This window comes from Homo sapiens, chromosome 19, assembly GCF_000001405.40.
Source record: "Homo sapiens chromosome 19, GRCh38.p14 Primary Assembly".
Lineage (NCBI taxonomy): Eukaryota > Metazoa > Chordata > Mammalia > Primates > Hominidae > Homo > Homo sapiens.
In genome coordinates this window covers 40,509,795-40,537,614 of record NC_000019.10, presented here as the reverse complement: position 1 = coordinate 40,537,614, position 27,820 = coordinate 40,509,795, and the positions used below count along the sequence as shown (strand labels likewise).

Sequence of the window (27,820 nt, the reverse complement as noted above, 5' to 3'; positions counted from 1 at the left end):
CATGGGGCTGTTGGGGAGGAGAGAGGAGTTAACAGTGCCCAGCACATTGTGTACATCAGCAGTTCTCAAACTGTGGCCAAGGAACCCCTGGGGGATCCCTGAGATCTTTTCAAGGCATCTGCAAGGTTACAACTATTTTTATAAAAATACTAAGATGTTATTTGCCTTCACCATTCTCATTCTCTCTCCAGCATGCAGCAGTGTTTTTCAGAGACCTGATGACCTGTGCTAGTGAAATGGATTGAATACAGACACGGATGGGAGAAGCTAGCTCTCTTCTATTCTAGACATGAAAGAGAACTACAGTCTGGATGCCATGGCTCATGCCTGTAATCCCAGCACTTTGGGAGGCCAAGGCAGGCCGATCACCTGAGGCCACGAGTTCGAGACCAGCCTGGGCAACATGCTGAAACCCCATCTCTACTAAAAATACAAAAATTAGCCAGGCTTGGTGGCACAGGCCTGTAATCCCAGCTACTCCAGAGACTGAGGCAGGAGAACTGCTTGAACCCAGGAGGCAGAGGCTGCAGTGAGCTGAGATCAAGCCACTGCACTCCAGCCTAGGTGGCAGAGCCAGACTCCGTTTTAGTTTTTTTTTTTAGTTCAATAAATAGAGATAAAGACTGGCCAACATAGTGAGATTCTGTTTCTTAAAAAAAAAATCAATCAGGCATGGTGGTGTGGGTCCGTAGTCCCAGCTACTTGCGGGACTGAGGGAGGAGCATCACTTGAGCCCCAGAGGTTGAGGCTGCAGTGAGCCGTGATTGCACCACTGCAGTCCAGCCTGCTAACAGAGCGAGATCCTGGCTCAAATAACTAAATAAAATAAAATAGAGACAGGCTGTTGCTCCGTTACCCAGGCTAGTCTCAAACTCCTAGGCTCAAGCAATCCTCCTGCCTCGGCCTCCCAAAGTGCTGGGATACAGGCATGAGCCATTATGCCTGGCCTCGATTTTCATTTTTAATACAGTGAATGTCAATAGGTCTAACCCACACAGACAAAGCTTTCTAAGGATCTCAATGCGGTTTAAGAGTGTAAGGGGGGTCCTGGAGACCCAGACATTTGAGAACTGCTATTCTATATTAAGTAGTGACCTCATTGGCCGGGCACAGTGGCTCACACCTGTAATCCTAGTACTTTGGGAGGCCAAGGCGGGTGAATCACCTGTGGTCAGGAGTTCGAGACCAGCCTGGCCAACATGGTGAAACCCCATCTCTACTAAAAATAAAAAAATTAGCTGGGTGTGGTGGCACATGCCTGTAATCCCAGCTACTCAGGAGGCTGAGGCAGGAGAACTGCTTGAACCTGGGAGGTAGAGGTTGCAGTGAGCAGACATTGCACCACCACACTCCAGCCTGGGTGACAGAGCAAGACTCCAACGAAGGAAGCAAGGAAGGAAGGAAGGAAGGGAGGGGAAAAGAAAAGAGAGGGGAAGGGGAGGGGAGCGGAGGGAAAAAGAACGAACTGACCCCATTGGCCATCACATTCAGATCTGTTTGTCTTTTTGTTCTTTTGCTTGTTCCCCCAACCAGAATGGGATCACCGTGAAGGCAGTAACTTTTCATCCATTTTGCCCACTGCTATATCCCAACACCCAGAAAAGTGCCGGGCACATAGTAGGTACCTAATTATTTTTTTTATTTTTTTATTTTTTGAGATGGAGTCTCGCTCTGTCTCCCAGGCTGGAGTGCAATGATGCAATCTCAGCTCACTGCAACCTCTGCCTCCCCGTTCAAGTGATTCTCCTGCCTCAGCCTCCTGAGTAGCTGGGATTACAGCCTCCTGAGTAGCTAGGATTACAGGCGTGCACCACCATGCCCAGCTAATTTTTTTGTGTGTGTTTTTAGTAGAGATGAGGTTTGACCACATTGGTCAGGCTGGTCTCGAACTGTTGACCTCGTGATCCGCCCGCCTCGGCCTCCCGAAGTGCTGGGGTTACAGGCGTGAGCCACCACACCCAGCTGGTACCTAATAATTATTTGCCACAGAGATGAATGAATACATACTAATCAGTGTCATTATGTATTTCTTACTAGCCTTTTTTTTTTTTTTTGCCATACACTATGCCAAGCACTATATAACTACATAGGAAATATATCAAAAAGGAGGAGTGAAGAGTCAAGGGCACTGGACTGAAATCCAGGCTTTGCTATTTGCTACTCTGGACAAGTAAGTTCACCTCTCACCTCCTGGAACCTCAGTTTCCCATCAGTCAGTCAGGCATTGTTCCTGACAGGTAAAAGCAGGAGTCACGTGGGCCAGATACCATGGCTCACACCTGTAATCCAAGCACTTTGGAAGGCTGAGGCGGGAGGGTTGCTTGAGCCCAAGAGTTTGAGACTACCCTAGGCAATATGGTGAGACCCTGTCTCTATAAAAAATTTAAAAAGATTATCCAGACGTGGTGGTATGCGCTTGTGGTCTCAGCTACTTGGAAGGCTGAAGTGGGAGAATCACTTGAGCCCAAGAGTTTGAGGCTGCAATGGACTGAGATCAAGCCACTGTACTCCAGCTTGGGCGACAGAGTGAGTAACTATCTTGAAGAAAAAAACAAACAACAACATCAACAACAGCAACAAAAAAAGAAAATCAAAGGCAGGAGCCATTACTCCCTGGGAGGTGAGAAGCAATGGCTACGTTCACCTCTGGTCATTCCACGTGAACTGCTGTGTACCAAGCATGGAGCTGCCAAGCTGGGAGCAGATACAAAGCAGACGCTGCGTCTGTTCTCTAAGAGTGCCCTGTTTCATAAAGGAGACACTGGTTAGCTGTGTGTCCTTGGGCCAGGTGCCTTACTTTCTGTGCCTCAGTTTCCCCATTGGTAAAACAGGATAATAACAGTACCAATCTCCAGAAGTGGCTGGGATGAGTTCAGTGAGTGCTTGGCCCAGAGACTGGTAGAGAAATGCTCAATGAATGTCATTGTTATTCCATGCAAAGCCATTCCCATACCCCTGAGCCTTGGTTTCTCCATCCAGGAAATGAGTGTCAGGGTCCTGTGAAACCTTTAGCATGCTAGTCATTTACCTACTGCTTTGTGGCTCTAGATCCTTCCTTTTCCCTTTGTACTCCATACCTTAGGGAGTGGTGGCTGCTTCCAACAGTTATTACTAGCTGGATTGCTTCAATATTCCCTTTCTCATCTTCTACAAGTTTGAAATAAATCCCTGTATTAAATCCCCTCCACTTGACATACCTTGAGTGGGGTTGGACCCTGACCTGGCCCCCATGTGGCATAGGGAGCCCTCATCTGGGCCAGGAAGACCATACCTGCAGCTTCTTGAGCTGACTGTTGACAGTGGCCAGGTCTCCTCCAGGGTCCACGTCTTGCAGCTGGCTCTCCATGTGAAGGAGCTTCTTGTCCAGCTCAGCAAAGCTCTGCACCAGCTGGTCTGCTTTGCTGGCCTCAAAGAGCTGCCGTGCCTTGGCCTGGGTGGTGCTCTCCAGCTCCGCCCAGCACTGGCGGATCTCGCCCAGCTTCTTCCGCACGGAGGCCGCCAGTTCGGGCTTCTCCTGCATCAGTTGCTGGCCCTCCTGCCCCAAGTGGGTGGATGGCAGGAGATGGAGAAGATAGATAGATGGTGGGGAGAATCAGAGAAGTGTGGGAGAGTGACAGGACACAGGGAAGGATGTGAAAAGAGAATCAGAGGCAGGGAGTGGGAGACACATAGGGAGAGAGAGACATGAGGGGTGGATGCAGAGATAGGCCCAGAAATGGAAGGAACCAAGGAAGAGAGACAAGAAGAGAGAGACAGACAGACAGAAGTGAGGGGAGGGAGACAGAAAGATACAGGGAGAGACAGATGGACACAGAGACATGGGAAGGAGTCAGGGAGAGACAAACAGTCACAGAGTGATCAACAGAGAGACAGGCACAGAAAATCAGAAACATGGGGAGAGGACCGTAAGAAAGACAAGGATAGAGGGATAGACAGACAGGAAAGAAAGATAGAGGGAGCCAGAGAGGCAGGGAGAGAATGAACTTCCATTAAACTCAAAGTCAAGAAGACTGCCTTCGCCATATGCCACCATTTATGAAACATCAATGACCATTTAAGGGTTTAAGGCCAACATGGGTGTCTCTGTGTGAGTCAGAAAAGTGTGTATATCCAGGGCTACAGGTCTAGGGGTTCAGCCAGAGGAGGGGGAAGTTCTGAGGGTTGAGGCTTAGAGCAAATATCTACCTCAGTCCCTCCAAGACTGAAGTCAAGGTTCTTAGTGGCCCAGAGCTACTTAGGTAACATTAAGTATTAAAAGTAACAAGACCACAGTAATTACAGCTCTTAGGTGCGTGGCCTTGTGTTAAGTACTTTATGTGCACAGAGCCCAGGAAGTAGCTATATTTATTATTTCCTTAATTTTATAGAACAGCAAACTGAGGCTCCAAGAGGTTAACACAATTACCTAAGGCCCCACAGCTGGTAACAGGCATAGACACAGTTAGAACCCAGGGCTCTAAGAATCCAAAGTTTACTTTAACCCTGGGCTTCCCAGGGTCTGTCCCAGCCCATCTCCCCAACCTTCCATCTTAAATGCCCCAAATGGTATGGAAGGAACCTGGTAGAGGAGGTTATATTAAGAAGTGAAATATTTAACAAACAGTAGGATACAGGCACCATTCAGAAGAGATGCTGGCCACTTTACAGATGAGCAAATTGAGGCTCAAAGATGTTACATGAATCACTCAAAGCCACATAGCTAGGAGCAGATCTGGAGCTGATTTGAGTCAGTCCAGAGGTGTAAGACCAGCAGGATGGCAGCAGCGGGTGCAGCAGGTGAGACGTGGGCTCCCTGGAGGCCTCCTGCACCTGGCACAGGCAGAGGGGCCATCAGCTTCCTCACCCGCTCGATCTTCTCCAGCCACTCCTTATTCTGAGCCAGCTCGGCCATGAATGCCTGGTGCCGGAGCCATCTCTTATGCAGCTTGTGGTTGTCCTCCCGCGTGCCATCCCGCGCCATCAGCATCTTCTCATGGATCCAGCCATCCAGCTGTGCAGAACAGGGCAGGAGGGCTCAGCTGGTCCCCTCAACCTGCCACAGCCCCCCATCCCTTCAGGAAGTCCCAGGTTCAGGGCCTGGGCTGCTAGGGTGTATGGGTGGAAGGAATAGGAAAGGATGAAAAAACCTTTGCAAGTGAGGCCTTTATATTGGGGGTGGGTGCAGCTCAAGCTCTTTCCTGGATAGAGGATGGATGGAAGGGTCCCCAGAATGCCCAATCCTTTGCTCCCCTGTCCCCTGTCCTGAGGGAAGCCCTCCTCAACTCCCCACAAGCCCCCAAGGCAGGGCCAGTCAGCCTCTTAGACTTGGGGACAGATCACCCCCCCCAAAACAAGCTCTCCAACCCAATTTAGCTAACTCCCAATTCATCCCCAGGACCACCCCTCCCATAGCAACACTTAGACACTTCATTCAATCTTAGCCACCCCCCAATAAGGACCAATTCAAGAGCCTCAACCCATTCCCAAGGGTATCAAATGAAGCCCCCATATCTAGCCCCAGTTCCTCCAGTATGGCCAGATAAACCCCCCAAACAACCTCCCAATTAAAGCCAACTCTAGCTCTCTCTAAACTAACCCTCTAATCTGGAGTAGACCCATCCTCCATAATCGAGATCTAGCACCCCTAATGAGCCCACAGGGCTCCCCAGTTCTAGCCCTGGGACTCTAAGACCATAGATCCCCAAACCATGACCAGTTCTAGCCCTCAACCAAAGCCAACCCCAGCCAAATGTGAAAAACAAAGCTGTGTTCTGGCTCTCCAAACCAGTCTACCCCAAAATCTAGCCACAGACTCTCCATCGTGGATCAGATCGGACCTCCCAAGCCCGGCCAGCACCCCCACCCCTACAACTAAAGCCAGTTCTAGTCCTCCTACCCACCAACAAAACCAGTCATCCAAAACGCAAGCACCAAGAGTGGGCCCCTCTCACGGCACTAGAGAGGATCAATCACAGGCTGCTTTTTGAGCCTCCCCCAACCCCCTCCAGTAAAAAACCAGACTTATCCTCCAAGCCAGAACTTCCCCACTCATGACCAAACCTGGCACCTGAAACAGTTTGCTCCTCCCCTTTCTCCTCCCCACTCCAGTCACAAGATCCTCCCTCCTCCCTCCTGCAAAAAAAAAAAAAAAAAAAAAAAAAAAAAAAAAAACAAACACTGGACTCCAGCTCCGCGGTCCCGGGAGGCAAATGCAGTCATAGCCAAGGACAAATCCCAGATCCCCAGCCGGCCAAACCCCAGCCCATGTCCCCTGAGCATGTGCTCCCCAGGGGTCCAGGACAGCATCACACTCCTTCATACACACACTAGAACCAAGTCCAGTGCTGAACCCCCCAACTCAATTCACAGGTTCCCGACGTGCAGGGAAGAGTCCAACGGCAACCACAGCCCGCAGTGAAAGCAGAGCCCTTAAAGAGATGGTACCCCATCCTCAAAGTAAAGCCCCCTCAAAAGTGATTCCTTCATGATGGAGGGCAAAACCAGACTATCCAACAACCCAGGAAAAGCCCCACAAAGTCAGAGCCCCCTAGACCCAGAGAAAATCCAAGGCCCCTCATCTTCCAAGGCAGAGCCCCCCAAAAGTGATTCACCTCCATCATCCAAGGCTGATACAGATCCTCCCAAAACAAGAAAGAAACCCCCCAAAAGGTTGAGAAACCCCCAACCCCAGGGCAAATCTTAGATGCCCCATTACCCGGAGAAGAGCCCCCCCTCGAAAGGCTGAGACGCCCTGAACCCTTAGGGCAAATCCAGATTACCCTAGAAGTGGTCTTAGAAGTCCCCCCGCTTCGCTCCCCTCCCTTGGGGGCCGGCCCCTCAGTCCCGCCCGCGCCAGCACCGCGGACAGCTCCCGGCGTCCTTGCCCCTCCCCCAGGGTGGGGGTCCGGGCGCCTGCCCGGCCCGCCCCCGCGCCGCCCCGCCCCTCCCTCCCGCGGCCACGACGGGCGGGCACGCGCCCGAGCCCCCTCCCCTGTCTGCGTCCGCGGGGTGCGCGCCAACCCCCTCCCCTGGGCGCCCCCGAGACCTGAAGCGGCAGTGGCGTTGGCGGGGCGTCCCTGCAGCGGGCGGGCGGGTGCTCGCCCCTCAACTGCGACGGCAGCGGCAGCGGCGGCGAAGGCTGAGGCTCCGGCGGCCGCGCGCCCCCTCCCTCGCCCCCGCGCGGCGGCCGCGCGCCCGCCCGCGTGCGCCCCCTGCCTGCCTCCCTGCCCGCCTCTTTGCGGGGCCCCAGGTGGGGGTGCAGGAGGAACCACCACTCGCCCCAAGGCTTCGGGTGGGGGGCTTCTGCGCCATCTCAGATGATTGCTGCCTGATCCAGAACAATCTCATGAGGGATGGGGGGTGCTCCTGGACCAAATCTAATGCCGGGAGGGAGCGCCTGGGGCTTGGACTGCCTCACTAAGGGAGTGGGGATTATGGTGAGGGGCTGGGTGGGGGCCTCCTGAACCATCTCTAATGGGAAGAAGCTCGGGCTCCTGGCCACCACATGTGGACAGGGGATATGGGAGGGCGACCTGGAACATCTCACAATCTCCAGTGGGGGCGAGGGGGAACAGGGGGTTCCTCCAGTGGCTCAAGTCCCGGCCTACCCCAGTTATGGGGGAGGGGGGCACGGTATGGAGGCCCTTGTTTATTCCGTGTGCGGAGAGAACAATCTCCCATGGGTGTTCAACATAGGGGGGAGGGTCGAATCGTCTTTAATTGAGGCTGAGGGGTTTAGGGGTTAGACCTGGTTCCTGAACCAGCTTTGGTTGGAAGAAACTTAGGTACGGGGTGATGATGGAGGAGGGGATGATCCTGGGTCACACAGATGGAGGGGCTCAGGGCCAGGCCTAGCTCTGTTTAGGGTTTAGGAAAATGTTTACTAGGCCATCTCTAATGTGGCCAAAGTCTAGAATCGTTTCTATGGAATGCAAGGGAAGGAGGGGAAGACAGCAGGTCTCCTGAACCGTCACTAATAAGGAAGGGGGCCTGGACCATCTCGGATTAGGGGAGATCGTCCCTAATGTGTGCAGATCATCCCTAAGGGAAGGGGCTTGATTACTGAACACCTTTAAAGGGGCGAGGGCTTGGTTCAGAGCCATCGCTGGCTGCAGGAGGGCGCAGGGCCGCTGGCCCCCCCACGGCCCTCGGCCCTTATCCCCACCGCCCGCCCCGCCCCTCTCCTGGGGTAGAGCGATTCTCACAAATCTCAGGAGAGAAAGGTGAGATCAGCGCGCGTCCCCGCGGGACCCGTAGGCGCGGACACGCGCGGTTGCCAGGGGCGCCCGGGGCCCCTCCTTCGTTTCCCGGAGTCGGCGTGGGCGGGCAGGGACTTGCGGAGCATGCGCACTGAGACCCGGCTCCGCGCGCCCCCTGGCGGCTTAGAGCGAGCATCGCTCCGCGACCCACTTAGACGGGGCGTCCCCACCCCCACCTCGGCCGAGAAGCACTTCCCTCCCGACTAAAGGGGATGTCTCCGTCCCCAGCACACCTGGAGTTCCTACCTCGTGGCAGTCTCGGAGGAAGTGCTGCAGCTCAAGTTGGTCATGTAGCTTTTGCATCCATTGCTGGGCCCGTAACTGGTTTTCTTGGTTCCTGGGGATGGGGAGATAAGGGCTGGGGAAAGGCCCCGGGTTGGGGGGTGCGGCGCTGGCAGTAGGACTGTGAGGGCACTGGGCTGGGTAGGGGAAGAAGGGCGTGGAAAATATGTAAGAGAGAGGGAGGAATTAGTGGGGCAAAGCCAGGGACGCAGGGACGGGGCTGAAGAAGGGCAGAGAGAGAGACAGACAGAGGAAGAGAAAGGGAGAGGCAGAGACAGGCACTTAGAAAGAAAGAGATATAGACGGAGAGAAAAAAAGGCAAGTCCAGAGAGAAAGATAACAGAGAAGTAAAGACAGACATACCTAGGGACAAAAACAAAACAAAACAAACGAGAAAGTGAGAGGAGACACCAGAAAGAGAGCGAGAGAGAGAATAAAAAAAGACGAGAAAAGAGATGGAGCAAGGCAGAGCCAGAAAGAAACTCAGGGAGCAGCAGACGACGAAAGAGAGGAGGCAGAGAGAGGGAAAGTGACAGGAGGAGTCCGGTCAGGGACAGCCCAGAGAGAGACAGGCAGAGGAGTGGCAAATGCCACCAGGAAAAGACAGCCCCACAGACGACAGACAGACCAGGGGGCCGCAGAGTTGGAGAGAGGGAAGAGAGCAGAGTGTGGGGAGAGATGACAGCAGAGTCGCAGAGAAGCTGAAGTGGGCACTCCTGCAGGCAGAGCGAGGCCCTTGGCCTGACTGAACTGACCAGGCTGGACCCAGGCCGTACCACTCTGGAGCCGGCTGGGACCATGGGCCCCGGGCAGTCTGGCCTCCTGCCCACAGTGCAAGGCAAAGTGCCCAAGAGGCCTGGTGGATGGGGCTGGGGCATCCCACATGGGCTCCCATGCATCCCTGTCCTGTTGCTATCTGTCTCCCCCAGGGAGAGAGAGAGAATGAGACTATCCTCCCAGGGTCTCCATGAGAGTCCTTAGAGATCCTCCCAGGGTCTCCATGAGAGTCCTTAGAGTCCTTTTTTTTTTTTTTTTTTTTTGAGATGGAGTCTCGCTCCATCGCCCAGGCTGGAGTGCAGTGGCGTGATCTCGGCTCACTACAACCTCCACCCCCCAGGTTCAAGCGATTCTCCGGCCTCAGCCTCCCAACTAGCTGGGATTACAGGCGCCCACCACCAGGCCTGGCTAATTTTTGTATTTTTAGTAGAGACGAGTTTTCGCCATGTTGGCCAGGCTGGTCTCGAACTCCTGACCTCAAGTGATCCACCCGCCTTGGCCTCCCAAAGTGCTGGGATGGGAGTGAGCTCCTGCACTCGGCCAATCTCAGAGGCCTTTCTGACCTACCAGGCCCCACACCCCCACCTTTCCAAACTCTTATTCTCCTTGCACTCTTCCCCCTCACTCTGTGGTAACTGTACTGCCCTTCTCGCTGTGCCTTGAGCAAGCCTCAGGCCCTTGGCACTAGCCGTTCCCTCTGCTGGGAATGCTCCTTCCCCCAACATCTACTCAAAGATCACCTTCTTCGTGAGGTCCCTCCTGACCACTCCCCAACACTTTCTGGCTTTCTTCCCTTCTTTAATTTTCTCCTTAGCACTTAACGCAATCTAACACGTGCTATATGTTACTTATTTATCTTGGCTGTCTCCCATGCTAGGATATATCATTTCCATGAGGGCAGGGATTTTTGTCTGTTTTGTTCATAGATGTGTCCCCAATGCTTAGAAAAAGGGCTTGGCATACAGTACACGCTCGACTTATATTTGTTAAATGAATGAATGCAAGAAACACAGTGGCAGAGAGAAAAAAGATGGGAGAAACAAAAGTACAGTATCTGTGAAAGACAGAGGCAGAAAAGACAGGGTTAGAGAGGTGCAGATGGAGGGAGAGAAAAACGGAGAGAAAAACAGAGAGGGAGCAGGAAACAGAGATACAGAAATAGATGGATAGATGGAAGCAAAGAGACAGAGTGTATAGGAGACAGTTGCAGAGACAGAACCAGAGAGAAGGAACAGGAAGGGCCTGAGACAAGCAAGCGAAGCACTGACTGCCTCCTGCCCAACTTAGCTTAGGAGCCAGGAAAGATAAAATGCCTCTGAAATTGAGCTGAAATCAATCTTTCCAGGCCTTCAGCAGCCAAACTGTCAAGCATCAGTCCTAGAGATGAGGAAGACCCTGAGTCTCCATGAGGGTGAAAGAACAACAGAGTAGGCCGGGCACGATGGCTCACGCCTGTAATCCGAGCACTTTGGGGAGGCCAAAGTAGGAGGATTGCTTGAGCCCAGGAGTTTGAAACCACCCTGGGCAATATAGTGAGACTTCATCTCTACAAAAAAAGAATGAAAAATTAGCCGAGCAAGGTGGCACATGCTTTTAGTCCCAGCTACTCAGAAGGCTGAGGCAGGAGGATTGTTTGAGCCCAGGAGATTGAGGCTGCAGTGAGCAGTGATCGCACCACTGCACTCCAGCCTGGGCAACAAAGCAAGACCCTGTCTTTAAAAAAAAGAAAAGAAAAGAAAGCAACAGGGTTCAAATCTAGGCTGTGGCACTTCCTGGCCATGACTCTGGGCAAGTCAGTTTTCCCCTCTGAGCCTCACATGCAAAACGCAGATAAGAACAGCACCTAGCGGCCGGCGCGGTGGCTCACGCCTGTAATCCCAGCACTTTGGGGAGCCGAGGCAGGTGGATCACTTGAAGTCAGGAGTTTGAGACCAGCCTGGCCAACATGGCAAAACCCTGTCTCTACCAAAAATACAAAAATTAGTTGGACATGGTGGCTCTTTCCTGTGATCCCAGTACTCAGGAGGCTGAAGCAGGAGAATAGCTTGAACCCTGGAGGCAGAGGTTGCAGTGAGGCGAGATCGCGCCACTACACTCCTGCCTGGGTGACAGAGTGAGACTCCATCTCAAAAAAAAAAAAAAAAAAAAAAAGAACAGCACCTCACACACAGGTTCCAGGTGAGGGGCCAGGCAAGCTGAAGCTCTAAGTGACTTGCCCTGAATGTCACGGATTCAGGGGTGAAGCCAGGTCTAAGACCCCCAGGGCCCCAGGGCCCCAGTCCCCAGCTCTGTATGGCTCTGCCCCCTTGGCGGATGTGGAAACTCCTCCCACTCCTCCCACTCCTCCCACAGGGTGGGAAATGTGTCCCTAGACAAATAAATGACTGGGATGGTGGGAAGGTGCAGAGATTAGTCCGTCTCAATCCCTCTGTGACCACACCTCACCCACCACAAGCCTGGGACAAATGCTGCCTCTCCCACAGCGGCTGCACGTCTCCCATCCGGGCCCTGACCTTTCTGCCTGGACTTCCTCCATCCCAGCCCCGAGCATTCTGGGCCATCCTTGTCAGATAACGTTCGAGCTCTGTGAGGCAGGAATCATGTTCTGTCCTGGTCATTTCTGTGAACACACCCCCACTCCGTACAGAGCACGGGCTCAGTACATGTTTAATTGACTGGAGGATGAGTGAATAAACAATAGAGTGAAAGGAGCAATTAATGAATGACTGAAAAGTAATGAATGAATGAATCATGGAATGAACAGTCCCCCGGGCTCCTCCTCCTCGTTTTGCTGAGCCTGGCATGCAGCAGGTGCTCAAGAAATGTGGAACAGGCCATGCTCAGTGGCTCACACCTATAGTCCAGCTACTCAGGAGGCTGAGGCAGGAGAGTTGGTTGAGCCCAGGAGTTCCAGGCTGCAGTGAGCTATGATTGCACCACTGCACTCCAGCCTGGGCAACAGAGTAAGATCCCTGTCTCAAAAAAAAAAAAAAAAAAAGTGGAACAAAGGAAGGATCCAGGCCTGGATGGAAAAGGGGGCACTAAATGATGAGTTTGCATCCTCAAGAACAGAATTCCCATAAAAGTTTCCTTTAGAAGCATGCTGCCTTGCCCCAGATAAATCTAGGGAAAGGATGTCTGAGCCGTAAACAGAAAAGGGGTAGCGGTCCTGGGGCTGGGGGTGGCACAGTGAAGTGACCAGGGATGCTTTCTGTCAGGAGATGGGAAGACAGAAGGAGGGGTACTGGGTCCCCTTCTGGCCTGGATCATGCCGGAGAGAGCCAGAGAGCCTGAGAGGAGAAATTTAGGGTCACCAGGAGGAGCAGAAACAGCTCTAATGACAGACAGAACTGGGTCTGGAAGATGAGAAAGGACTTCCCATGATGGCTGGAGGTGGTGGTGTTGTTTTGTTCAGTGCCTACCTACAATAGTGCCTGGCACACAGTAGATGCTCAATAAATATCTTCGCTTGATTAGTGCAAGGACAGACAAGAGAGTGGTGGCAAGAGACAGATGGCGACAGAAGCAGAGAACAATGAGGTTCAAGAGATGAGAGAGACACAGAGACATGCAGACACTCACTTTGCATGCTTCCTAGAGTGGCTGGGGCCAGGAAGAGGTGCTTATGCAAAATATTTGACAACCAGCCTGGCAGGGGACACTGTCCCATCTGGAAAGCTGGAACACACCTGTGCCTGGCCTCTAGCTGCTGGATCTGGGGAGGTCTGGGGGTTCCCAAGGAGGGTGCAGAAGAGCAGGATGGATAATGAGGCATCTAGGGAAGTAAGTTAACACATTTTTTTTTTGGAGGGGGGACAGAATGTTGCTGTGTCATCCAGGCTGGACTGCAGTGATATGATCACAGTTCATTGCTGCCTCAATCTCCCGGACTCAAACAGTCCTCCCATCTCAGCCTCAAGAGTAGCTGGGACTACAGGCACGCATCACCACGCCCAGCTTTTTTTTTTTTTTTAATTTTAGAGAAGGGGTCTCACTATGTTGCCCAGGCTGGTCTGGAACTCTTCAGCACAAGCAATCCTCCCGTCTCAGCCTACCGAAGTGCTGGGATTACAGGCATGAGTCACTGCACCCAGCCTAACATTTTAACAACAGGACCAGCTATCCCATGCTCAGGGCAGACTTAAGAAAGAAACCTTTCATTGTATATCCTTCTGTATCTTTTGGGTTGACAGCCTCAGGTTACCTTTTCACAATATATCCACTTAAGGCCAGGTGCAGTGGCTCATGCCGCTAATCACAGCACTTTGGGAGGCCAAGGTGGGTGGTCAAGAGTTCAAGACCAGTCTGGCCAACATGGTGAAACCGTGTCTCTACTAAAAATACAAAAATTAGCCAGCGTGGTGGCTCATGCCTGTAGCCCCAGCTACTCGGGAGGCTGAGGCAGGAGAATCACTTGAACCTGGGAGGTGAGGGTTGCAGTGAGCCGAGATCGTGCTACTGCACTCCAGCCTGGGCAACACAGTGAGACCCCGTCTCAAAAAAAAAAATCCACTTAAATCAAATCTAAGACAACATGGAATTAAATAGAAATAGGAAAGAGCCCCAGAGAAGCAGAAATCGTGATGAAAGGAGTGGGACCCTGGCCTCCCACACCACTCCCCTATGCTGGGCCCCATCTTCTGCCCCCTCCCTGGGGTGGATGGGTCTAGGGGACCTACTTCTCCAGCAGCCGGGTCACAGCCTCCTGAGCCTGCTCCCCGTAGATGTTGCCCTGCCTCAGCAGGCCCTCTGCAGCCTGCACGGCCACCTGCATCTTTTGCTGGCTCAGCTCCATGGTGGTGAGAAAGTCACGGTGCTGTTTCAAGGCCTCCTCCACCGATTCCACTGTGCCCGGGAGCTCCGCACCAGACAGCGCCATCTCCTGGGGAGGAGGGAGCGTGGTGCAAAGGTCAGCCTCATTCCATTCCAGGACCTGGGAGAGGCTGCCAGCCTGGCTTGCCACCACTCCCCGCAACCTTGCAAGCATAGAACATTCCAGTTGTGGTCCCACCTCGGGGCTGTTGCCCATGCTGGTGCTTCTGCCTGGGAGTCTGTCCCTCCAGATACCCCCATGGCTGGCTCCTTCACTTTCTTCAGGTCTCTGACCAACCTGCCAAATTTATCAACTCCCACCCCAGCCCTATCCCACTACCCTCCTGTATTATTTCTTTTTGGCAGGGAGGGAGCAGATGGAGTCTCACTCTGTTGCCCAGGCTGGATGCAGTGGTGCAATCCCGGCTCACTGCAACCTCCACCTCCTGGGTTCAAGTGATTCTCCCGCCTCAGCCTCCCAAGTATCTGGGATTACAGGTGCATACCACCATGCCCGGCTAATTTTTTTGTATTTTTGGTAGAGACGGGGTTTCACCATGTTGGCCAGGCTGGTCTCAAACTCCTGACCGCAGGTAATCCACCTGCCTTGGACTCCCGAAGTGCTGGGATTACAGGCGTGAGCCACCACACCCAGCCAACCCTCCTGTATTATTTCTCATAGCATGTACCTGGCAATATTAGCGATGCATTGACTTGTTTACTCTCTCCTCCCCTACATACTAGAATGTCAACCACATGAGGGCAGGATTTTGTATTTTGTTGCCTGAGGTGTGCTCAGCCCCAAAATAGCGCCCAGCACAGAGGAGGCACTCAGTAAATATTTGGTTAATATTAGGCCGGACATGGTGGCTCATGCCTGTAATCCCAGCACTTTGGGAGGCCGAGGTGGGTGGATCACCTGAGGTCAGGAGTTCGAGACCAGCCTGGCCAACATGGTGAACCTCATCTCTACTACAAATACAAATATTAGCCGGGTGTAGTGGCACACACCTGTTATCCCAGCTACTCAGGAGGCTGAGGCAGGAGAATCGCTTGAACCCAGAAGGCGGAGGAGGTGCAGTGAGCCAAGATCACGCCACTGCACTCCAGCCTGGGTGACAGAGCAAGACCCCATCTCAAAAAAAAAAAAAAAAAAAATTGGTTACTATGAAGACTGAAGGCTGGGCACGGTGGCTCATGCCTATAATCCCAGCACTTTGGGAGGCAGAGGCGGGAGGATCACTTGACCCCAGGAGTTCAAGACCAGCCTGGGCAACATGGTGAAATCCCATCTCTACTAAAAATACAAAAAATTAACCAGGCATGGTGGCACGTGCCTGTAGTCCCAGCTACTTGGAGGGCTGACGTGGGAGGATTGCTTGAGCCCCATAGATCAAGGCTGCAGTGAGTCATGATCGTGCCACTGTACTCTGGCCCGGGTGACAGAGTGAGGTCCTGTCTCAAAAAAAGAAGACAACTAAACTGGGTACTGTGTGAACTCAAGGAAGTTCTTTTCCCTCTGGGGTTAGTTTTCTAACTAGTAAAATGAGTGGGTCAGGGCCGGGCATGGTGGCTCACACCTGCAATCCCAGCACTTTGGGAGGCCAAAGCAGGGGGACTGTTTGAGCCCAGGAGCTGGAGACCAGCCTGGGCAGCATAGCAAGATCCTGTCTCTATTTTTTAAATGGGTGGGTCAGAAAGGGTCTCTCAAGGCCACTTCAGCTCCATATTTAGTAATCTTATGATTCAGGGGCTCTCTGTCCTTTCTCCTCCACTCCCTAGATCAGGATTTCCCAAGCCCTGGGCCACAGAGGGGTACTAGTCCATCGCCTGTTAAAAACTGGGCCGCATAGCAGGAGGTGGAGGGGGGGCGAGTGAGCATTACTGCCTGAGCTCTGCCTCCTGTCAGATCAGCAGCAGCTTTACATTCTCATAGGAACACAAACCCTATTGTGAACTGCGCATGTGGGGGATCCAGGTTGCACACTCCTTATGAGAATCTAATGCCCGATGATCTGTCGCTGCCTCCCATCACCCCTAGATGTCACTAGATGGGAACGTCTAGTTGCAGGAAAACAAGCTCAGGACTCCCACTGATTCTACATTATAGTGAGTTTTATAATTATTTCATTATATGTTATAATGTAATAACAATAGAAATAAAGCACACAATAAATGTAATTCGCTTGAATCATCCTGAAAACATTCCTCCTTTTCCCACCGGTTTGTGGAAAAAATTGTCTTCCAGAAAACCAGTCCTTGGTGCCAAAAAGATTAGGGACTGGGCCTGGTGCAGTGGCTCATGTCTGTAATCCCAACACTTTGGGAGGCCGAGGCAGGCGGATCATGAGGTCAAGAGATCAAAACCATCCTGGCCAACATGGTGAAACCCCATCTCTACTAAAAATACAAAAATTAGCTGGTCATGGTGGCTCGCGCCTGTAGTCCCAGCTACTTGGGAGGCTGAGGCAGGAGAATCGTTTGAACCCGGGAGGCTGAGGTTTCAGTGAGCTGAGATCACGCCACTGCCCTCCAGCCTAGCTACAGAGCAAGACTCTATCTAAAGAAAAAAAAAAAAGATTGGGGACCACTGCTGTAGATAATCCTCAAACTGGGTCAGCATCCCTTATATAACCAGTACAGGCAGGCACCCTTTCTAACATGATCCCCAAACACTGGACAATCTGAAAACTGGCTGTTCCATCTTGCCAAAATTCTCAAACTTGGTTCCCATCCCAGAGTGATCTCCCAACTGGATTGGCTGTCCCCAGATAACCACTGCACTTGGTTCCTCATGCCACAGACACAGTTACTCTCTCCAGAGAATCCATAGTTGTCATTCCCAGAAATGAAGATATTGTGCTAATTTAGCCATCCACACCATGTAATCCACAATCACTGACTGACTCCAATAACCCCTCAGCCTGTTACCTACCTCCATAATCCTAATCCTTTGTTATCCATACCAAGATCTTCTTTGAACCCCATTTAACCATCGCCAATCAACCTCATAGTCTTATTTCCTTTCAGATAATCCACGAACCCAGGAAGCCACTCCAATAAATATCCTCGTGCATTACTTACTCGGGATAGCCCACAAACTGTCACCTCCGATAAGACACCAACCTACCCCACTGATGATACTCCTCAAATTCTGTTACATACACACTTCCACACACACTGGATGTTCCACAAACTCAGTTATCCATTCCGGATACTCTCTCACCTCCCACCCACCTCAGAACCCAGTGGTCCCAGGAAACACCCTCCTCCCCACCCCCGCATGTCCCTGTCCCTGCAATCCCCCCGCGGCCTCGGACTCTCCCTCTCCGAAATGTACACCCCGAGTGGGCACCTGGTTACGCAGCACCACGAGCGCCTGGCGTAGATCCCGCAGGAAGAGCTGGTAGATGTGCGCCTGGACCAGCGCCTCCCTGCGCGCCTCCCACAAGCCGAGCAGTTTATGCCAGCCAAGTTCGAGGTGTGGCAGCCACTCGTCTAGTGCCAGGCCCGGGCCCAGCTCTGCGCCGTCGGCGGCCAGCAGCGCCTCGCTGGCCGCCACGATGCGAGCATAGTCTTCCTCGCGCTGGTCCACCTCCTCCTTGAGCGCAGCGTGGCGCGCCAGCAGCGCGTCCGCCTCTTCTAGGCTGTTGGGCAGGGGCCCCTCGCTGCCGCCCGCCGCCTCCTGGGCGCGCACGAGCCAGTCCAGGAAAGCGTCGAGGTCATGTAGGAAGCGCTGCAGGCGCCCTGCTGCCGCCACCGCCTCGCCGCAGGCCTGAGCCGCGCTAGCTAGCGCGCCCCACTCGGCGCCCAGCTCCTCCGCGCCCTGGTGCAGCCGCGCCGCCTGCGCCGGGAAGCGCTCAGCCAGCAGGGCTGCCTCCTCCAGAAGGGCCGCCTGGCGCGGCTCCAGCGCCTGCAGAGCGGCCTCTAGGCCGCTAAGACGCCACTGCAGGGCGCCGCCGGCCCGGGGCGCGCTCTCCACAGCTCTCCGCTTCTCACGCACCTGGGCGCGCACCTCGGCCACCTCCAGCACGTGGTTCTCCACCAGCAGCACCGCGCTCATTTCCTCTTTGCGCTGTTCCACTAGCTCCACGATGCGGTTCCACCTGCCCAGGGGAAAGAGAGTGACTTGAGGAGGACAGGGACTCCTCTTGGGCGCGGAGGGCCCGCCGACCCAGGGTAGAATCCAGGCCCAAGCCACCCAGCCACTGTGTGACCTCAGAAAGTTTCTCCAGTTTCTGCCGGTGTAAAATGGAACCCTACGCAGCACTTTTGCTTAGGGCAGCCATTCTCAACATGTAATCTGATAGAGGACAAAACTATCTTCATAAAAATGTGTTAAGACGCCATTTGCTTTTTCACTCTCATTCTTTCCCGAGTGTTCAGTGGAGTTTTCCAGAGGCGGCAGGAGAGACTGAGAGCAGAAGCCGACTCTGATTTAAGAGAAGCCCAGCTGCCATCTCTTAAACCAGACTTTAAAGAGATTTGCAAAGGTACGAAACAATGCCACTCTTAGTACATTTTGTGTTATGAAAAGTTATTTTTAATAAAAAAGTTATATTAACACGTTAGATATTTAGATTTAAAAAAATTTTTTTAAGACGTGAGATCTCACTATGTTGCCCAGGCTAGAACGCAGTGGCTATTCATGAACTCGTTTATGGCACACTGAAGCCTCCAATTCGCAGGCTCAAGCGGTCCTCCCACCTCAGCCTCACAGGTCTAACAGGCACGCACCACTCCCAGTGTATTGTTATTTTTAAATAATGTTTTCAAATTTCTCAGCCGGGTGCAGTGGTTCACACCTGTAATCCCAGCACTTTGGAAGACGGAAGCAGGTGGATCGCTTGAGCTCAGGAGTTGGAGAGCAGCCTGGGCAACATGGTGAGACTCCTAAAATACAAAAATTAGCTGGGCGTGGGGGTGCACACCTATGGTCCCAGCTACTTGGGAGGCTGAGATGGGAGGATTGCTGGAGCCTGCGAAGTCGAGGCTGCAGTGAGCCATGATTGTGCCACTGCACTCCAGCCTGGGTGACAGAGTAATGAGACCCTGTCTCAAAATAAATAAATAAAAATAAAAACATTTTAAATTTTCTCAGTACTAAGTTCTAATATAGTAAATAGCAATAGATATGACCCACTAAAACAAGCTCTTGGGGTCCTCAATAGTTTGGGTTTTTTAAATTTTGTTTTCTTTTTTAGACAGAGTCTTGCTCTGTTGCCCAGGCTGGAGTGCAGTGGCACGATCTCAGCTCACTGCAACCTCCGCCTCCCAGGTTCATGGGATTCTCCTGCCTCAGCCTCCCAAGTAGCTGGGATTACAGGCGTGCACCACCACACCCGGCTAGTTTTTATATTTTTAATAGAGATGGGGTTTCATCACATTGGCCAGGCTGGTCTCAAACTCCTGACCTCAAGTGATCTGCTTGCCTCGGCCTCCCAAAATGCTAGGATTACAGGCGTGAGCCACCATGCCCTGCCTGTTTCTTGCATAAAGCCATTATGATTCTCTAAATATCTTGTCCATTTATTAGTGTATTTAACTGTCTTTCTGCCCCCTCTAGAATGGACACACCATGAGGACAGAGATTAGGACTCTGAAATCAGGCAGACCCGAGTTCAAGTTCTGCTCTGGCCAGATTTGCCATGTGACCTTGGGCAAATCATTTCCTTCTCTGATCTTCAGTTTCCTCATCTGGAAAATGGGGATAATAAAGTCCACTTCATTGAGTGTGTAACGAGATCATGTGGCTAAAGCACTTGGCATATAGATCTCTCTACATGCTGTAAATCGTTATGATTGTAGTTATTTTTTTAGGCCTGGATGCTTTGCGATGGTCTTGGCTACAGAGGTTTTAAAATCCCTGGATATTGGAATCTTGCAGCACAGAGTCAAGAGCGTAGTCTTTGGGTGGGGCAGAGTGGCTCATGCCTGTAATTCCAGCACTTGCGGAGGCCAAGGCAGAAGATCACTTGAGCCCAGGAGTTCGAGACCAGTCTGGGCAACAGAGTGAGACCCCATCTGTACAAAAAATACAAAAATTAGCCGGGTGCAGTGGTGTGCATCCATAGTCCCACTACTCAAGAGGCTGAGGCAGGAGGATTTCTTGAGCTCGGGTCGGGGGCGGTGAAGGCTGTAGTGAGCCATGATCGTACCACTGCACTCCAGTCTGGGCGAAAGAGCAAGACCCTGTCTCAAGAAAGAAAAAAAAAAAAAGAGCACAGTCTTTGAAGTCAAACATATCCATCTTCAAAGCCCGGTTTGATCCCCTAACTTGCTGTGTAACCTTGGGCCTCCATCTTCGCCTCTCTGAGATCCAGTTTTCTCCTCTCTAATGTGGGGTAGTTTCCACCTCATAGTGTTACCAGGAAGACTGGATATATTAGATAAACAGCTACAGCTCAGGATTCAGCCAGAACTGTATTTGACTCCTACTTATAGACTGAGTAATCTTGGATAAGGAGTTCACCTTTTTGGACTTGTATCTTCATCTATGAACCCCACCTGCACTGGGAGAATTGCTGGTAGTATTCCAGAGGTACTGATATTAGTTTGTTACTTATCTTAAAGAGTTCTGGGCTAGGAGCAGTAGCTTACACTGTAATCCCAGCTCTTTGGAAGGCCAAGGTGGGAGGAGGCCAGGAGGTTTTTGTTTGTTTGTTTGTTTGTTTGTCTGTTTTGGTATAGATTCTTGCTCTGTCACCTAGGCTGGAGTGCAGTGGTGTGATCTTGGCTCACTGTAGCCTCTGCCTCCCGGGTTCAAGCAATTCTTCTGCCTCAGCCTCCTGAGTAGCTAGGACTACAGGCACATGCCACCATGCCCGGATAATTTTTGTATTTTTAGTAGAGATGGGGTTTCACCATATTGGTCAGGCTGGTCTCGAACTCCTGACCTCAGGTGATCCACCTGCCTTGGCCTCCCAAAGTGCTGGGATTACAGGTGTGAGCTACCACGCCCAGCCGAGCCCAGGAGTTGTAAGACCAGCATGGCCAACACAGTGAGACCCTGTCTCTACAAAAAAAATTTTTTTTAATTAGCTGGGCATGGTGATATGCACCTGTAGTCCCAGTTCCTCAGGAGGCAGAGGTGGGAGGATCGCTTGAGCCTAGGTGTTGGAGGCTGCAATGAGCCATGATCATGCCACTGTATTCCAACCTGGGCAACAGAGCAAGATCCTGTCTCAAAAGAGAGAGAGAGAGAGTTCTGAATTCTAGGATCTTTACTATGGAAATTGGGATATTGGGAATTTTTTTTTTTTTTTTTTTGAGACAAGGTCTGGCTCTATTGCCCAGGCTGGAGTGCAGTGGCACAATCTCTGCTCACTGCAATCTCTACCTCCTGGGCTCAAGGCATCCTCCCAACTCAGCCTCCCATGTAGCTGGGACTACAAATGTGCACCACCATGCTTGGCTAAATTTTGTATATATATATACATATATATAGTGTGTATATATATATACATATATATGTGTATATATACGTATATGTGTGTATATATACGTATATATGTGTATATATACGTATATATGTGTATATATACGTATATATGTGTATATATACGTATATATGTGTGTATATATATGTGTGTGTATATATATATTTTGTGTGTGTGTGTGTGTGTGTGTGTGTGCGCGCACGTAGAGAGAGAGACGGGGTTTCACCATGTTGCCCAGGCTGGTCTTGAATTCATGAGCTCAAGTGATCCACCCATCTCAGCCTCCTGAAGTGCTGGGATTACAGTATGAGCCACTGTGCCCGGAAGAATGTTGGGATACTTTAGAAAGGTATATAAAGTGCTTGGGAATACTCCTGGCAGATTGTAGATATCCAATACATTCTTTCTGGACAAATAAATGAACAGCCAACTGAAATGTTGTTTTAATTTTACCACGTCATCACCAGTATCAGGGATTATGATTTTTGGTCAACATTTTGTTGATTTATCGGGTGGCCATTATGATTCCAGGGGTTTGAGATTGCACATCTTGCTGTCCATGGCTGTGTGAGTGTGGAAGGGAAGGATGGGAGGGACTCCCAGCCCCAGGCCCTCCTACCTGCTGTTGAGGTGGTCCTGGCAGGAACGCACCTCATCTGAACTGGGGTGGCCTCCTTCCACCAGCTCCTGGACTGTGTGGTTCACGTCCAGAACGCGGCCCATCAGGCTGTTCATCTCTTGGTCCAGGCTCTCGAATCTGCAGGAGGATGGAGATGCTCAGACACCCGAACCCTGCGGACCTTGGTTTTATGAAATACCTTCTACTGGTTCTACTCCTAATTCTCAATCCACCCTTCTTTTCAGCCTCCTTTGTGGGCTCCTTCTCTTCTACTTGCTGCTTATTTTATTTAATTTAATTTAACTTATTTAATTTAATTTAATTAATTTATGTATGTATGTATTGAGACAGAGTCTCGCTCTGTCACCCAGGCTGGAGTGCAGTGGCGCGATTGTGGCTCACTGCAACCTCTGCCTCCCGGATTCAAGCGATTCTCATGTCTCAGCCTCCCATGTAGCTGGGATTACAAGCATGCGCCACCACGCCCAGCTAACTTTTCTATTTTTAGTAGAAACGGGATTTCACCATGTTAGCCAGGCTGGTCTCCAACTCCTGATCTTATATGATCCACCTGCCTTGGCCTCCCAAAGTACTGGGATTACAGGCGTGAGCCACCACGCCCAGCCTCTACCTGATGTTTAAATGTGAGATTCCTCAGCAGCAACTCCACCCTGAGCCCTCTGGGTTTTCCTTCACACCCTTCTTCAATGATTCCACCCAGCCCCACAGCCTTGGTCTTTGCCCCTGAACTCATGACAGTCACACCTCAGTCTCCAGCCTCAACCTCTTACCTTTTGAACCTGTCTTCGACCTCAAAGCCTACTGTATACCTTCTTGGGGCTATTCACACCCACCTGACTCAAATTTGTTCTTCCTCTGGGCCCCCATGTTGGGGACAGCACTGTCATCTGCCAGGCCAGAGCCCTGGGCTTTGTTTTGGAAAATCGCTCCAGCCCATCAGTCTCCATGGCCTGTTTACTTACCTCCCGCCCTGGTCTAATCTTGTTCCGCTCCATCTGGGTCCCCAGCCCAGTTGCCTCTCTGGGTTCCCAGCCACAACTCTTACCCGCTCCAACCTGCCCTCCACATGGCAGCCACTGAGGTCTACTTTAAGCTAGACATGGTCCTCCCATCTTTAAATCAATGTTTCAAAGAACTGGGCAACTGCAGGCACAGTAGGGGCAAGGAGCAGCCCTGTGTTTCCAGCAGTGCCCAGCACAAGACCTAGAAAGGCATAGGCACTCAGTAAACACCTGCTGAATGAATGTATGGATGAATAAGATGCTCAGACAGAGTGGTGCAGAGGGGGAATAGGCATTGTTCACCCACTAATTGAACAACTCATTGCTAAGTCAGCCAACAGACAAGTCAGTATACAATATGTCATGGGATGGTAAGTGCTACAAAGAAATGTAAAACAGGATGAAACAATGGAAAATCACAAGAGTCAGAGCTATTTTAGTAGCTAGGGAGGTGACATTTATGCAGAAGCAATGGGAGGCCTCCCAGCAGAGGGGCCAGGCTGAGGTGTCCCTGTAGAAGCATAGGTCGTTGATTTCATGCTTGGCGAATGTAAGCCTGGGTAACAAGAGCAAATGCTGGGGGAATGCTTCCTCTACCCCCAGGCATTTGCTTCGTATTCTGCATGTATGAACTCATTTACCGTTCATCACAAGCCTGGGTAGGGACTAATATCACCCCCATTATACAGGTGGGCAAGCTGAGGTTCAGGAAGATTAGGCAGGTTGCAGAACTGTCACAAAGCTGGCTATGGGTGAAGCAGGGATTGGAACTCCTAGTTCCAGCTGAGCAAACATGGGAACTGTTGAGCCAATGAAGGTGAGACTGGGTGCATGAGGAAGGGGACCCCGGAGTCCCACATGTGCGCGCTCACCGGTGCTGCACCACCTCGACGTCGTCGAGTGAATCCGGCACACGCATGGAGAGCAGCCATTGCTCCTTCTCGCCGATCCACAGCTCACACGCGTGCACCTCGCCAAACATGCGGTAGACAGCGAGCGCGTCCCGCAGCCACTGGCGCCTCAGCGCCGCCACTTCGGTCACCTCAGCGAACAACTGCTCTGCTTCCACCACGCGCACCTGCAGCGCCACCACCAGTGGCCCTGCGCCACTGGCACCCCCGAGTGTCGCCAGCTGGCGCCGCAGGCCGCTCACGGGCCCGCGATGTGCCTCCACCTCCCCGGTGAGCGCGCGGTGCTGGCGCGCCAGGCGGCGGCTGGAAGCTTCGTCGTGGCCGAAGTCACCGGCGGCTGCCAGGCGGTAAGCGTCGCGAAGCCAGTCCAGCAGCCCGTCGAGGTCAGCGCCGAACTGGTGCAGCGCCCGCGCCTCCTGCAGCCGCCGCTCTCGCCGCGCCGCCGCCTCTTCCAGCCTCTGCCAGCGGCGCCGGGCGCTCGCCGCGCGCTCCGCCAGGCCTACCAGGTGCACGGTGTCTGCTCCCGGGCCGACGGCACCGCCGGCCGCAACCAGCTCCTCGCCACACCGCAGGGCCTGCTGCAGCAACGCTCGCCGCCCGCCCAGCTCGCCCTGCAGGATCTTGTGCTGGGCCAGGAGGCGCGCTGTGCTGGACAGGTCATGCGCGCCGCCCGCTGTTCCCGCTGCGCCCGCTGCGCCCGCCGCACCGCCGCCGCCCGCAGCCTCCAGGAGACGCTCCTTGTCGCGCGCCCAGCTCTCGGCCTCCTCCAGCTCCTGCAGCAGCGCCCACAGGCTCCGCGAAGCCTCCAGCTCCGCGCGTCGCCGCGCTGCCTGCTCCTGCAGCTCCGCCAGGCAGCCGTGCACGTGGTTCACGCGGTTGCAGATGACCTGCGGGTCGCAGGGCTGGTAGCCTGAGCCAGGAGAAGGGGAGCATCCAGGATTGGTCACAAGCCAAGGGGCGCCCAAGAGAGGATGGTGCGGGCTACCTACCCTGTCCTTGGTGTGACTTCATCAGATGCCGGGTCACGTGGCTCCTCCTCCAGGCAGCCTTCCCTGACACCCCAAGGCTGGAGCAGGCTCCTCCTCGACCCTCTCAGGCTTCTCTGCTTCCCCATCCTAGCCCTGACTACTCTGTGTTGTCATTGCCTTGTCCTGTCTCCCCCACTGGACTGAGAGCTCCTTAAGGGCAGGACCTGGGTCTGTCACACCCTATCCCAAACACTGCCCAGCAAAGGGTGGAGCCCAGAGCTGTAGCCTAGTGAATGTAGTGATTTGTTGACTGAATGATGGATGGATTCAGAGCATCTCAGATTCTGTATATTTGAGTGAAAATTGTGCTTATGTCAGAACTGAGTCAAATGAAACTTCTTTGTTTTTTGTTTGTTTGTGTGTTTGAGACAGATTCTTACTCTGTTGCCCAGGCTGGAGTGCAGTAGCGCGATCTCGGTTCACTGCAACCTCCACCTCCAGGTTTAAGCGATTCTCCTGCCTCAGCCTCCCCAGTAGCTAGGATTACAGGCGCCCGCCACCACGCCTGGCTCATTTTTGTATTTTTAGTAGAGACGGGGTTTCACCATGCTGGCCAGGCTGGTCTCAAACTCCTGACCTCCAGTGATCCACCCGCCTTGGCCTCCTAAACTGCTGGGATTACAGGCATGAGCCACTGCCACCGGCCAACTTCTCTTTTCTTAAACCATGTTTCTAGGTTCCCTCTGTCATCCTCTGTTGCATTATCTATCAATCCCAGTGGTTATCTGCACTCCTTTTTCTTTTTAAAATAGAGACAGGATCTCACTATGTTGGCCAGGCTGGTCTTGAACGGCTGGCCTCAAGCAATCCTTCCACTTGGCCTCCCGAAGTGTTGGGATTATAGGCATGAGCCACTGTGCTTAACCCCGAACTCCCTCTTTTTCCTTAAATAGTTCACCTTCCTCCTGGATGGCTAGTTGGCGACTAGAAAACAGTGAAGTTAATTTAATGGGTCACAGCCAGCATTTGTTTGGTGGAATAGAATAGAAGGAACGGAAAATATCACAATGCAAAACAAGGTCGGGGGAGTATTTTTGTTGTTGTTGCTGTTGTTGTTTGGTATTGTTTGTTTGTTTGATTGAGACAGAGTCTCTCACTGTCGCCTGGGCTGGAGTGCAATGGCTTGATCTCAGCTCACTGCAGCCTCCACCTCCCAGGTTGATGTGATTCTCCTGCCTCAGCCTCCAGAGTAGTTGGGATTACAGGCGCGTGCCACCATGTCCAGCTAATTTTTTTTTGTATTTTTAGTAGAGATGGGGTTTCGCTATGTTGGCCAGACTGGTCTCGAACTCCTGACCTCATGATCCGCCCCCCTCAGCCTCCTAAAATGCTGGGATTACAGGCCTGAGCCACCGCGCCCAGCCTGGAAGTATTGTTTTATAAAACCTCTGTGTTAGCCTGTGTGCCCATGTATGCATGTGAACTGTGAGTCATGAGGTAAGTGTGTTTATTTATTTATTTATTTATTTTAGAGATAGGGTATCACTCTATCACCCAGGCTGGAGTGCAGTGGCATGATCATGGCTCACTGCAGCCTCCAACTCCTGGGCTCAAGTAATCCTCCCGCCTCAGCTTCCTGAGTAGCTGGGACTATGGGCCCACAACACCATGCCTGGCTAATTTTTTTTCTAAGTTTCTTGTAGAAATAGAGTCTCGCTGGCTGGTCTCCAATATCTGGGCTGAAGAAATTCACCCACCTTGGCCTCCCAAAGTACTGGGATTACAGGCGTGAGCCACTGCCTGGCTGTGTATTTCTTACTGGATCATAAAAGTGAGACACTGCCCTATGTGGAATGCGGGATTTCTGTAATTCTGGACATTCGCTGATGTTGACTCAAACCACAAGGTATCCAACTGAATAATAGTTACAATAACAACAGCTTCTTGCTAGGCGCAGTGGCTTACACCTGTAATCCTAACTTTGGGAGGCCGAAGCAGGCAGATCACTTGAGGTCAGCAGTTTGAGACCAGCCTGGGTAACACGGCAAAACCCCATCTCTACCAAAAATACAAAAATTAGCTGGGCATGGTGGCGTGCACCTGTAGTCTCAGCTACTCGGGAGGCTGAAGTGGGAAGATCACTTGAGCCAGGGATGTTGATGCTGCAGTGAGCCGAGATAGTGCCACCGTACTCCAGCCTGGGCAACAGAGTGAGACTCTGTCTTAGAAAACAAAACAACAACAACAAAAAAAAAACAGCTTCCATGTACCCAGCCCTTACTCTGACACAATGTCATTTGATTCTCACAACCATCCTATGAGGCCAGTGTCCTTATCAGCCCCATTTTCCAGATTAAGAGACTGAGCCTCAGAGAGGGGAAGGATTGCCCTAGGATCAGCTAAGAAGTGGCCCATCAGGAGCTCACACTCTGGACCACCCATCAGGAAGCGCTGCCTCCCATCCCCATGACAACGCACTCCCCACACTCGCACTCCCCACACTGGCCCCTCTGCTGTATTCTCGGAGCTGCTGATTGTCACAGGAGCCGAGAATTCACAAGGCGAGGGCAAAGGGAGCTTCCTGAGACAAACCTAGCTAAGGTGAAGGAGAGGGTCCCAACAACCTCCCCTGGAGGTGAGATGGGGATGGGAGGGAGCTGAGCCAGGGTCAGGATGTCCACACCAGGGCGTGGAGGGAAACTTCAGCATTTGCATTTAGGATGTGACCCAGGTCGGCTAGGGTGAGAAACTTC

At 52.3% G+C, this 27,820-nt stretch overlaps 1 protein-coding gene across 6 annotated transcripts in view, besides 2 other annotated features; it reads right to left on the bottom strand.

The window, feature by feature from the left end:
• SPTBN4 (spectrin beta, non-erythrocytic 4) overlaps nt 1-27,820 on the bottom strand; it is a 109,464-nt gene that overhangs the window by 38,850 nt on the left and 42,794 nt on the right. For 4 of the 6 annotated variants that reach the window (NM_020971.3, XM_017027051.2, XM_017027049.2 and 1 more), the window contains 7 exons: nt 24,061-25,009; nt 22,167-22,304; nt 17,464-18,214; nt 13,976-14,178; nt 8,484-8,574; nt 4,844-4,990; nt 3,272-3,535 (listed from right to left, as the gene is read on the bottom strand). In NM_020971.3, coding sequence (NP_066022.2) covers nt 3,272-3,535; nt 4,844-4,990; nt 8,484-8,574; nt 13,976-14,178; nt 17,464-18,214; nt 22,167-22,304; nt 24,061-25,009 — 2,543 coding nt within the window. Of the gene's footprint in view, nt 1-3,271; nt 3,536-4,843; nt 4,991-7,024; nt 7,125-8,483; nt 8,575-12,323; nt 13,072-13,975; nt 14,179-17,463; nt 18,215-22,166; nt 22,305-24,060; nt 25,010-27,820 lie in introns of those variants that run through there. The other 2 variants (XM_017027052.2, NM_025213.3) reach the window with 2 other exon arrangements.
• Nucleotides 8,118-8,437: a silencer, noted in NCBI's record as "silent region_10631". NCBI's record gives its function as "represses an Ori minimal core promoter by ATAC-STARR-seq in GM12878 lymphoblastoid cells {active_cell/tissue: GM12878}" and the evidence as "EXISTENCE:reporter gene assay evidence [ECO:0000049][PMID:35858748]".
• Nucleotides 13,996-14,291: a silencer, noted in NCBI's record as "fragment chr19:41029231-41029526 (GRCh37/hg19 assembly coordinates)". NCBI's record gives its function as "represses an EF-1alpha promoter that drives an FKBP-Casp9 reporter gene in an ReSE screen in phorbol 12-myristate 13-acetate-treated (for megakaryocytic differentiation) K562 erythroleukemia cells {active_cell/tissue: K562(+PMA)}" and the evidence as "EXISTENCE:reporter gene assay evidence [ECO:0000049][PMID:32094911]".